The 11955-nt window shown below is 38.0% G+C and overlaps 1 protein-coding gene across 1 annotated transcript, besides 1 other annotated feature; it reads right to left on the bottom strand.

Annotated features, from left to right (window-relative positions):
- Nucleotides 141-732: an enhancer, noted in NCBI's record as "OCT4-NANOG-H3K4me1 hESC enhancer chr11:58862519-58863110 (GRCh37/hg19 assembly coordinates)". NCBI's record gives its function as "activates a minimal SCP1, AML or CMV promoter by ChIP-STARR-seq in naive H9 embryonic stem cells {active_cell/tissue: H9 hESC(naive)}" and the evidence as "EXISTENCE:reporter gene assay evidence [ECO:0000049][PMID:30033119]".
- On the bottom strand, nucleotides 992-9471 carry GLYATL1B (glycine-N-acyltransferase like 1B). The gene is made up of 5 exons (NM_001355566.1): nucleotides 9394-9471; nucleotides 8607-8714; nucleotides 2123-2249; nucleotides 1667-1844; nucleotides 992-1409 (listed from the first exon to the last, which is right to left on the bottom strand). Exons 1-5 carry the CDS (start codon nucleotides 9469-9471, stop codon nucleotides 992-994), a joined length of 909 nt encoding a protein of 302 aa, NP_001342495.1.
- Between the last annotated feature and the right edge of the window lie 2484 nt (nucleotides 9472-11955).

Here is an 11955-nt window from a genome sequence, read left to right as displayed (position 1 = left end):
ACAGGGGGGGAGAGCGGAGCCAAATGAGGCCCCGTTTTTTTCATGAAGTGTATTTTTCTTTTTTTTTTTGAGATCAGGGGTTCAGAAATTGTAATATAAGTGTTCAATTATAAAGTTATTATGATAGTGCATGGCACGTGTCCTTTCCATCATCTGGATTTTTCCACTTTTACTGTATGGCTCACTCTTACTCACTCTCCAGTCTTCACCTTAGTGGTCACTTCCCCCTGAAATGCCCTTGACCCCTTAAGATAGCAGTGCTGCAAACATCGTAAGCTGAATTTATAGCCAGACTCACAGGCAACACCTTATCTTGTGCCATGCTTCACTAATGATGAGGAAGTGAGAAAGAGTAGGGGAAAGGAGGCACAACAAATGTCATTTCCATAACAGAGGCCTCAAGGCCAGCCCACTTGATTCTCTGGAGATCCTTTTCTGCATAACAATGATGAAAGGTAGCCTAAGAAAGCCATTTGTCTGAGGCTTCACCTTTGATACCTTGCTAGACACTAAACTAAGAGACTGATTCCATTCTTTAGTATAGCCATTGCCTCATAAATCCATACATAACAGGGGTATTTCTTTCCAATAAAGTATCCATATAGATTAGGTATATTCTATTGACAATTTTATTAAAGTTCTTCATTTATCTTCCAGATAGTAGATTCTATCAACCAAGTTTCATAAAGAGTTCTGATTCCCAGAGGTAAGAACTGAGCCTGGCTTTCTAGTTACATGTTTATTGGTAACTCTGTCCTTCCCTACAACACTTAAGCATATTTAAAGACTATACCCTCCCCTGCCTCCAGCTTGGATTGTAAGCTCCTCAAGAGCATGGCTGTGTCCTTTAACATCAAGTCTCCATGTGAGAAAGAGTTCCTGCCATATCACAAATGCCCAATCAACATTTGTAAGTGAAGAAAGCTATTCTGTGGTGTCTGCTTTAATATTAAGAGATGGCTTGCCCAAGATTGCTAAGCAGCTTCATTGTCTACAATGGAACAAGATTCTGTGGGTAGCAGTTCCATTGGTGCCACTGACAGGAGGCCTCAAGGAAACCTAGTGCACTAGTCTTTCTGATGACGCCTTGATTTTCTTCCAGCACAGAGCCGTAAAATGGAATATTCTTCTGACACAGATACTTCATGCATCGCATGATCAGCCGTGTCCCATTGCCTCTCCTTCGGTATTTTTCCACACTGTAGCCCATTCCTATTTCACAAGAAGGGTCCATGGTTACCCATGAGACCGGGACCCCCTCTGGGCCCAGCATACAGGCTGCTGGCAGGGCTCCTAGGCAGCGCTTGATGTAACGCAGGCTCCTCTTATTCATCCCTAGCTTCCAGTTGTCATTTACCAGCCCAGAATAAGACACATTCAGCTGGGCATACTTAAAGTTCGGAGTCTCGCTGTAGAAAACAAAAAGAAAGACAACAACTTTCATCCCCACTCCTGTAATTTCTAGGTGCCCTTCCATTCTAGAGATCCCAGGCCCTCTTCTTGTTAAAAGACCCACCATTGCAAAGTGGCGTATTTTGACCACTGACAACCTTTATTCATCCCAAGGAATGAATTCATCCTCTCTTCATTCCAAAACTGATTTATGTGAATTACAAAAATGTACAAGGAATAGCAATTATAAATGATCAGCACATGTTTTTTGTACCTCTCCAATTCGTCATCTGGGTGGCCTGTCTCAGCCCAGCTTCCAAGCTTGCTTTTATTGGTGGCATAGAGCTTCAGGATATCTTCCGTAACAAAGAGGAGTGCTCTCGAATGCTCTACCTTCACTGAATTTGAAAATGCAGCTGCTCTTATCCCCTCACCTAAACTTTCTTGAAAACCTGAGAGAAAGCCAAGAAAGCAATATTGTCAGACATGCAGTTCTCTACTTACACTGCTCACACCTGATTAATGCCTCAGTGCTTAGTAGTTCTCAAAGTTGAGTTTACACCACAATCAGCTATAGTCCTTGGCACACCACAGATTGCTCCACCTCTCCCAGCTCTGAGAATTTCAAGGAATTTACATTTCTAATGAGCTCTCAGGTGATGCTAATGCTGTTAGTTGAAGACACAATTTGAGAAGCACAGCTGCTTGCCCATTTCTTCAGACTTGTTACCTTGGATTTGGAGTTTCTGTTTCCAGTTTATGATCTCAGAATTTTTCAAAACTTCTTGTGATTTTTGAGGGTCTTTGGAGAATACACGATATACATTAGTGTATGAATCCATGTCATCAGTCATCTCCTGTGTAGGATGGTGAAAGGTCAGATCATTCCCTTGAACTTTTTCTTCTCCTCTCACTGATTGCAATTATTAGAAAAATGAAAATTCAAAAGAAAGTTTTAGCACTAGCCCACGATGGCTGCAGTTGGGCACGTGGATAATATAAGTGAGACCTATAAGCTACTGCTGACCTCTTACCTGTGTAACTGGAGTTTGTTAAATATTGAACACTGACAGTTACTGGTTATAAACCTGCTTCTCAGATACATAACAAAGACAGGATGAAATCAGTCACCCTCCACCAGGCCTTAAGATGCCTCACTTTTCTCCCTACCCACTCAACTGCACACTTACCTTATTTTATATATAGCATCACAGAGCGCCCAGCAGAAGCAAAGGAATGCAACAATTGCTTCTCTCCCTGCTTCTCTCACCTCCTGGACCACACATATCCCCCTGTTATATATACTGTGCCCCACATAACCCCCTGTGGGACATATTCTGGGTTGTACTGAGTCCGTGTTGATAGGGTTAAGTTCTTAAGCTCGGCACAAGATGAATTTAACCATGATTTCTCTAAGTTATAGTGCCTACTGTTTCACCAGACACCTACAATCTATATTGTTCTAGAATCTGCAGTGTCCAGGGTTTGAGCAAGATACTTTAGTGAATATAAACATTAAGGAGACATTGCCTTTTCCCAAGGCTACAGGATATCAGCCTCTTTGAAGAGTGACATGGCCTTTACAGCCAGAAGCCCACAAAATAGAATGAAGTAACTGAATTTTCCGTAGCACTCTGCGCAATTTATGTGGTGTTAGACTCATGGGTTTTAAAGAAAGATACTTGTGATCTCATTCTCACAAGCCACAAACTTCATGGGACGATGAGTATCTGTTTATCAGGGGAAATATAAACAATAAGTGTGAGTTTTAGCAGTGCATGTATTAATATTATGTTGAAAATTGTATTGTTAAGGAGTAAAAGAGAAAATAGTGTAACTAATTTTAAAGAAACCTTCAAGAATTTGAGGATGCTTTTATAAATGCAAGTTCCTGAATATGGCCAAAACACAACACCTCAGTGAATTTAAAAGAGTAGATGTTTTAAAAGACCGGATTTTAAAAGAATGACTGAACATAGCCAAGTAAATATTCAAAGAATTATAAAAAGAATATCAAAGTAGACTAGAAAATAACAAATGGAACAATTTGTAAAAATGAAAGCCATAAATAATGAAATGTAGAACAAGACACAGTGCAAATGATATATAAAGCCAAAAGTTCATTTTTAAATGGCAAAAAGAAAGAGCAGAAGAGAGAGAGAGATAAACTTCTGGTAAGGCATTTAAAGGAAATAGAAGAGAAAGAGAAAAAAGAAAAAAAAAAGGCATAGAGTATGAGCCATGAGAATGGAAACAGAAAAGGAAAAAGACTTATAATAGAAGATTATATACTACTCCAAGGCAACATATTCACTGATAAAGAAATGGATGTTATCCCTCAAGAATAAACTATCAAAATTGACTTTCAAAAAATAGAAAACTTCAATGAACTAATAGAAATATCGGAAATGAAATGAAATATCTACCATTTGAAAAGTGGACAAGAATTATGGCTTCCAGCTCCATCCGTGTTGCTACAAAGGACAATATTTTATTCTTTTCTATTGCTGTGTAGTATTCCATAGGAATACATGTACCAAGTTTTTTTATCCAATGCACCTTTGATGGGGATCTGTGATGATTCCATGTCTTTGCTATTGTGAACAGTGCAGCAATGAACATCCTAGTGCATGTGTCATTTTGGTAGAACGATTCATTTTCTTTTGGGTATTTACCTAGTAATGGCATTGCTGGGTCGAATGGCAACTCTCTTTTAAGTTCTCTAAGAAATTTCCAGACTACTTTCCACAGTGTAATAATCCTAAGCAAATTAATGCTGTAACAGAAAATCAAATATCACGTTTTCACTCATAACTGGGAGCTAAGCATTGAACATACATGGACATAAATGTGAGAACAATAGACACTATGGACTCTAGAGGGTGGAGGGAAAGGGGCTGGGTTAGAAAACTACCTATCGGGTACTATGCTCACTACCAGGGTGATGGGATCTGTCCATACTCCAAGACTCAGCATCATGCAATATTTGCGTGTAACAAATATGCACATGTACCCCCTTTATCTAAAAGGAAAGTTGAAATTACAAACTAAAAAGTAGCCAAAATTAGATTATTTTACATTTCAATTCTACATAAGGCAAAACCAAACACATAATTTTAATAGTAGACTTTGGTAACAGATGAAAATATCCTAATGCCAAATCTGGTAAAGAAATAACAAAAAGAGAGTTACTGACCATATTGGCTTATGAATACAGATGCAAAAATTCTGAATAAAATATTCAGTAGCATATGAAAAGAATGTGAACATGAACAGTTTGTTTTAGAAAGGCCAGAATGAGTTTGATCAGAAGATCTTTTAGGGTAATAAATTAAAGGAGGAAAAAATTACATGAGTATATAAATTGCCATAAAAAGACAAAAATGAAATAACATAAAATCTACCGTTCATTCTAAATATAATTTCTATGAAAATGGGAAAACAGGAAAGTGCTCTAAGCCTGTAAAGACAGAATTAAATGTAATTCCAAAGGTAAGTTTTTATAGCTATTTCATTAAAATCAGGAATGAGACAAGGATAGAACTTTTATTATGGCTACTTGGTATTGTTTTCTTAGGTTGTACATTATACAATAAGGCAAGAAAGTAAAAACCCATACAAATATTGGCAAAGAAGCAGCAAATTACTTTGTTTATAGATTACAGTATTACACATTTAGAAAATATAAGAGACTTCGACAGAAAACAAAAACAAATAACACCCCAGGCAAACAAAGAAGATTTTAAAGCATAGTGTGACATATTTGGAAATGAAGAATATAAATAGAAAGCAATAACAAAATAATAATGCTCAGAAATAGAAAAGGAAAAATAATTTAATAATCTTAAAAAATAATATAAAATACCTAAGGGTAAACTTAATGGAAAAATCACGTAGTTTACCTCAGGAAAACACTAATATTTTACCAGATGGCATAGAACAGAAACTGAAAAAAGTGAGAGAAAGACCATATTTCTTGATAAAAATATTTAGTATCACAAAAATATTAATGCTTCCACAATTGTCTAAAAAAGCTCCTCCAATACAAATCACAATTGCAATACTTAGTTGGGGAAATTGGGGAACTGAAAAATTAGTTTTTGTTCATATAGCTCTGAAGTTTATAAGAAATAGGAAAGCAAGAAAAAGATTAGTGAAGGGTGATTTGCTTTATTAGATATTAAAATTTGCCACAAAACAATGAAATAGCATGAGAAAAGATTAGAAACAAATACAGAAATAGCTACAAAAATATATAAAAGTTATATGACAAAATAGACATTTATGTTTCAGTAGCAGAATGACTTACTTAATAAATAGCACTAACGTAATTAGCCAGCCATTCGGGGGATAAATATAAAAGAATGTTAATTCATGCTATTCAAAAATATATTCCAAATAGAATGAAGTTTGAAATGTCAAAAGTAAAAATTAACTCACTGTAAGACAAAATGAAAAAAACAACTTGTACGATCTTGGTTTAGGAAAAATCTTCCTAATTATTAACAAAAAAACTCCCAAAGCCTCAGGAATCATAGTGAAAAAGATAATATATTTGATTACATGAAAATTAAAAATTGCTTCATGTGAAAATCTATCAAATTAGAAAATAATTCTAAATTGGGCAACAAATTTGTAGCATACACCTTGTGTTAGTATCCCTCATATCCAAAACACATAGAGAATTTTAAGAATGACACAAAATCCCAGTGTAAAAATGGTCAAACAATATAAACAGTTCAGAAGTAAACCCAAAATGACTGATAATCATATGAAAATATATGTTGAATATCACTAGTCAGGGAAATGCAAATTAAATCTACAATAAGATGCCACTTTTCACCCACCAGTTTGGCATAAAGTAGAAGAAGGATAACATTCACTGCTGATGAGAATGTGGGAAACAATTCTTCCACAGATTGCTAATGGAAATAATACTGTGGAATCCTTTGGGAGGGTAGTCTGGCAGTGCCTACTTAGGATAAGATAAGCTCTGACTTGGACTTATCCCTTTTGGAAACCAATTGCATTGAGAAAAGTTTCCAGGATGTAAAGACATGTATACAAGGATGTTTATTGAAGCATTGTTTGTAATGGCAAAGAAGTATGAACAATTTGAACCCAACAGGAGGAGAATGACTGACTAAATAGCATTGCATTGACTCTATGGAACGCCACAGTTATTAAAACAAATATGTTAGTGCTGTATTGATTCACTCAAAGCAATGTCCATATGTCAAAGGCAAATTAAAAAGCGATTACAGAAGAGATCATAACTGAATATCCGTTTGTGTGTTAATATGGCCAAGGACACCGATTACCCCAAAGGGTAGGAATGGAGGAGAGGAGGGCAAAGAGGTGAGAGGTTATTAACTTCTTAAAATCATGTTGAATTTTTCCACTTCTATAATCAGCATATATTATCTTTCTGATTAGGAACCAACAAAGAAAAATTAATATTTTTCTAGAGAAATTCTCCTGCATCTCACCTTAAAAAGGTCTTCTTCAAAATTGCATTGATTTTCAATACTGAAAGAAACATGGTATACTATGGAATCAGACTAAGTGAATGTATTTCCAAGTAAATTGCAGCATATTTCATTCTTTCCATTTTTTTGGTCATATATGTGTGGCATGGAACTTTTATATTTTAATATTTTTGTTTGCTGACTCACTATATAAAAACTAGCCTTGTTCAAAGCAATGCATATATGAAGTTACAGCTTGATGGTACAGTTACATTGTTAAAATACACATAGTGACTACAAAGTTACTGAAGTAAAAAGAACTATTTGGTTCATACAGTTATTTAGCGTATGACACTTTGAAGAAATTGGACCATGGATCAAGTAAACTAACCATTAATCATCGATCCGAAATTGTCAGGAAACCAGGAGATCAAAAGAACATCCCTGGGGAAGGTATTAGGCTCAGCTTATTATTATGTGGGGGCTCAGTGTCTATACCCACCTGAAGCTGGGCTGGCCATGAGGCTTCAGTTCACTAATCAGATGTGCATGAAACAGACACAAAAAGGGGAAGTCTTTAGGGCCAAAAAATAGACCTAGGTTTGTATTACTATTTCAGCTTAATCGTGTATTCCTTGTGTGTCCTCGGCCAATAATGGCTAATTATGGTAAATACTATTTAGAATTATGTGCTATATACTAAGTGTTTGACATGTGGTATCTCATTTAAACCTTGTGTAATCCTCTGAAGAATGTCCTCCTATTTTTCCCATTTTAACAGATGATAAAACTCACAGAAGGGCCTATGGTTATATAGCTAGTAAAAGTGGCAGAGTCCGTTGAACTTGAATTCAGATTGGGGAATGCTTTAACAGATGGTATCCAGCAGCTACCTGACTGAATATTTCTCAGTGTTGTTTCCTCATCTCTAAATTAAAGATATTAAAGCTCACTTTGTAAAATTGTTCTGATGATGACAGTCACTAACGAGTGAGGTGCTTCCACACAGTTGACACAAAGTAATTGTGTGTCCCTTCCCTGGTTCCTGAGAAGCAACTTTTATTGTTTTCATGACAGGGTCTCACTCTGTTGGCCAGGCTAGAGTAGAGTGGTGTGATCTTGGCTCACTGCAGCCTCAACCTTCTGGGGCTCAAGCCATCCTCCCACCTCCATCTCCTGAGTATCTAGGAGTATAGGCACGCATCACCATGCCCTGCTAATTTTGTTTATTTTTTTGTAGAGATGAGGTCTCATTATGTTGCACAGGCAGGTCCCAAACTCCTGGCCTCAAGCGATCCTCCTGCCTTGGCCTCCCAAAGTGCTGGGATTACAGATAAAAGACATCATGCCTGGCCATGAGATGTAATTTTACTGGTAGACTACTGCCTTGGTTTTTGGTTCTAAGTCACTGTTCCAATATCTCAGACAGCCAACTTTCCCTGTAAATTGGCCTCCATTCAGCCCCTGCAGGTGACCCCTGCCACCTCAAAGGGCCCTTAATCTGTGAGTGTCAGCTTTGTCCTTTTCCTCCCCTTCCCCCTTGACCCCCTTTCCCTAATGAGTCTTATGCTTTACAGGAAGAGTGTTAACATGTGGCACTCACGCAAGCTGCCCAGTACTGAAGGAGTGTTTTAAAATACTCACATTTCCTTTCACCCTATAAAAGCAGCCATGGTGTCTGAATTGGACAGTTCCTCAGGCCCTTTGGACCTGCCTGGCTCCACCAGTCCCTGTCTGTGTGCCTACCTGTTTTTGAGGTCGGATAATAACCATCTGATACTCGGGCCAGGAGTCCACCAACACTTCCATGTTGAAGGGGTTCCCGTGATTGATGTGAAACAGAGAGCCATACACCTGAAGGAGGGATGAAAGGGAATAGGAGAGGCTGAGATCCCCAGAGATGGGGGTCTGTATGTGAAGAGGAAGAGAAAAATGGAGATCAAGAGACAGTACTGGGACCAAGTCAGTGATGATGAGATGAACAGCATCTCCAGGACCATACTGATGGACATGAAGTCACCAGCAAACAGGCAGAACTCACAGGGAGGTGTTCTTGTGATACCACAGAGCTACTGTGCAGTAGCTGGGCACTTGTTAATGCACTTAGCACTTATATTGTATGGATTCATTCAGTGTCCACAACAACTTTAAGAGGTAGGTACTAATATTATTCCCATTTTATTAATGAAAAGACCAAACGTAAAGAAAGCTAAAGGCACAGGCACAATGATATCTGACTAAAAAATGGCAGCCTTGCAATGCATATTTATTGAATCTGGCCCCAAACCGATGTTCGTAGCCACCATTCTTCACCACCTCTCCAAATGAGTGATAAAATCTGCAGAGTCGGCCTAGTTGCCTGTTGCCGAGGAGAAGCAGCAGCTCTTAACATGCCTCCTTTGTCCCCAACCCCATCCTGTTTCCCAGCTCCAACCCTCTGCACAAAGTCAGGAAGGACGAGATTCATGAGCCTGTTAGTTTCTCATCCTCAACACCCCTACTCCCATACCCCAACCTCCCACTGTTCCTTCACCTTCAGGGACTCAGGAATGCTCCTTGCTAAAGATTTGAATAGGGCCAGCAGCCGCTCGGAATTATTCAATAGAATCATTTTGTGGGATGCTTCAGTCCTCAAGCCCTTCAAGAAAAAAACTCTGAAGAGAAGTGGAGGGAAAATGTTAAAGGACCAGATGAAATTAAAATGCACTTTACACATCTCCATTCAAGTAACACTCATGATGTAGGTACTGTTAGTATCGTCTTCATTTTGAATACGCCAAAGCTTAGAGAGACTAAATAAATTTCTCAAGTTCTTACAGGGATAAACGACAGAGTCATATCCAAAACCCATGCATTTCCTCTCTGGTGGAATGAATAAAAGTGAATATTAAGAGTTCTGTGAGCTTCCCACATGCCTGTAGCAGAACACTCCACCACCATCACCATAACTTTTCCTTGTATTTTGCACATCAGATGCCTGAGGAGTCTTCTTTCTTCTGGAATAGAAAATATCTAAGAACAGTTGTGACTGGAAACCTCAGAGCAGGAGTTGGCAAAGATTTTATTTAGTTTCTTAGGGCTAAATATTTCAGATCTATAACCATTTAGAAATTTTTCCCAGTTTCATTACAAAAATAAGAAAAAAACATGGAAAATTTTGAAACATATCTGTAAATTTCGTTCGATATAACACTTGGAATTCTTACAAATGTGACAAAGAGTATAACAGTTGACATTCCATAGGGCCAAACCGGTTCTTAGCCAAAAGGGACTTTACTGAGAGCCCTCATTTTTAAATGTAGTTCAATGCATTGTTTTTCATTTGGAATGTTCCACTCTAAGTTATCTTTAGTAAGATTTTGCCATTTGCGTAAGACTTCTCTGCCTCCCAGTCCTAATGTATAAGCCAGAAAGAACTCAGTTTTTCAGAAATTAAGGATTCCATTTTTACCGAAACTACTGGCTTTACTCTCAGGTTCTTTTGATTAACTTAGCCAATGAATTTCCCTACCTAGGTGGAGAAGAAAAATGAAACAAATGGGTAGAACACAAAAATCCCTGTGAATTTCCCAAAGCCGAATTTTATGACTGCTGCGACATTACTGCTTACTACCACTTCCTTTATGACCCAGTCAGCTGTTAGTGGCCTCTACTGTTAGTGGCCTCTAAGTGGATCCAAGCCAGTTAATTCCCAGATCAAATTCATTCCTAGACCCAGTCCATTTTCTGTTGCAACTCCAAAACCAGTTTGGATCACAAATTTGCTCAAGGAAACTCAGAGAGCTCAAAACACAAATGTGTGAAGCTCCAAAATGCAAGAGGGAGCTTACCTTTGATCCTCAGCTGCTCTGAGAGATCAATGGACACAAGTGGATCCTGCAGGTACCTTCTGTGTTTACTCAGTGCTCCTGGGGATACTAGAAGCTCCACTTCAGATTCTGCTTCTGACACAATCTGATAAAATAAAAACTTCAGCTGACTTAAATTTAAAGGAGTTTAGTTGAGCAATGAACAATTCATCGATCCAGCAGCCTTCAGAATCACAGCAGATTCATGGAGGCTCCAGGGGTGTCTTGTGGTCAAAACAAATTTATAGGGAAAAAAAGTTAAAGTGACATCCAGGAACCAGAAATGAGTTACAGAAACAGTGAGATTGCTGTCAGCTGGGCGTTTGCCTTATTTAAACACAGTTTGAGCATTCAGCAGTCTATGAGTGGTGATGTAAGGCTGCTGGGACTGGCCAACATTCAAGTATTGTTACAGGTGCACACTCCTAAATTAGGTTTTCAATTTTGTCTGACTATTAAGCTAGGTTACTCTTCACCCACAAGGACTCAAATGAAGTACAGAGTCCTTCTCAGACCATATTTAATTTGCTTTAACACTTTGTAGCAAAATTCATTGAAAGGATTGTCTACAAATGCTATTTCCAATCCTCCTCCTAATCTTCTCTAACTGGGTTTTTGCTGCTACCATTTTACTGAAACATTTTTTAAAGCCATCAGTGATCTCTATGTTATTAAATCCAGTGATCAGTTATTGCTTCTGTTCTTAATAGATCATTCTTTAAGACTTTCCTCACTTGGTTTCCAAGAAAACACACTCTCTTCGTTTTCCTTTAACTTCACTGGTTATTTCTCAGTCTCCTCTGTGGACCCTTCTTTTCTCCCCAACTTCTTAATTTTGCATCACTTTAGAGTTCAATCATTGGCCTTCATTTGTATCCACACTTACTCCCTGGTAATCACATCTGGTCCCATGGCTTTAAAATCAATCTGCTTGCCAATGACTAATACATTTATATTAGTATTAAAACTCTTTTCCAAACTCAAGACATATGTATCTAATGGCCTGTTTCATATCTCTTGGATTCCACCCAATAGCCATCTCAAACTCATTATGTCTCAGATCAAACTCCTTATCCACCCTCTCCACCCAGCCTACTTCACCTGTAGTCTTTCTCAATTAAGTTGATGGCAACTCTACCTTTTCATCTATTCAAATAAAAACTCTTGGAATTACTCTTATGTATCTTTTCCCCTCCCACATTATATCCAATCCATTATGACATTCTGCTCATTCTGGTTGGGAGAAA

Source organism: Homo sapiens, chromosome 11, assembly GCF_000001405.40.
Source record: "Homo sapiens chromosome 11, GRCh38.p14 Primary Assembly".
Classification (NCBI taxonomy): Eukaryota; Metazoa; Chordata; class Mammalia; order Primates; family Hominidae; genus Homo; species Homo sapiens.
This window is presented reverse-complemented; position numbering and strand designations above follow the sequence as displayed.

Excerpts from the sequence above, each read along its gene's own strand:
- GLYATL1B (NM_001355566.1), bottom strand. The coding sequence starts at position 9,471 with ATGATTCTATTGAATAATTCCGAGCGGCTGCTGGCCCTATTCAAATCT. Across the intron at positions 8,715-9,393 it reads GCATTCCTGAGTCCCTGAAG|GTGTATGGCTCTCTGTTTCA; the intron begins GTGAAGGAACAG and ends TCCCTCCTTCAG. Across the intron at positions 2,250-8,606 it reads TTATCCGACCTCAAAAACAG|GAGATGACTGATGACATGGA; the intron begins GTAGGCACACAG and ends CATCCTACACAG.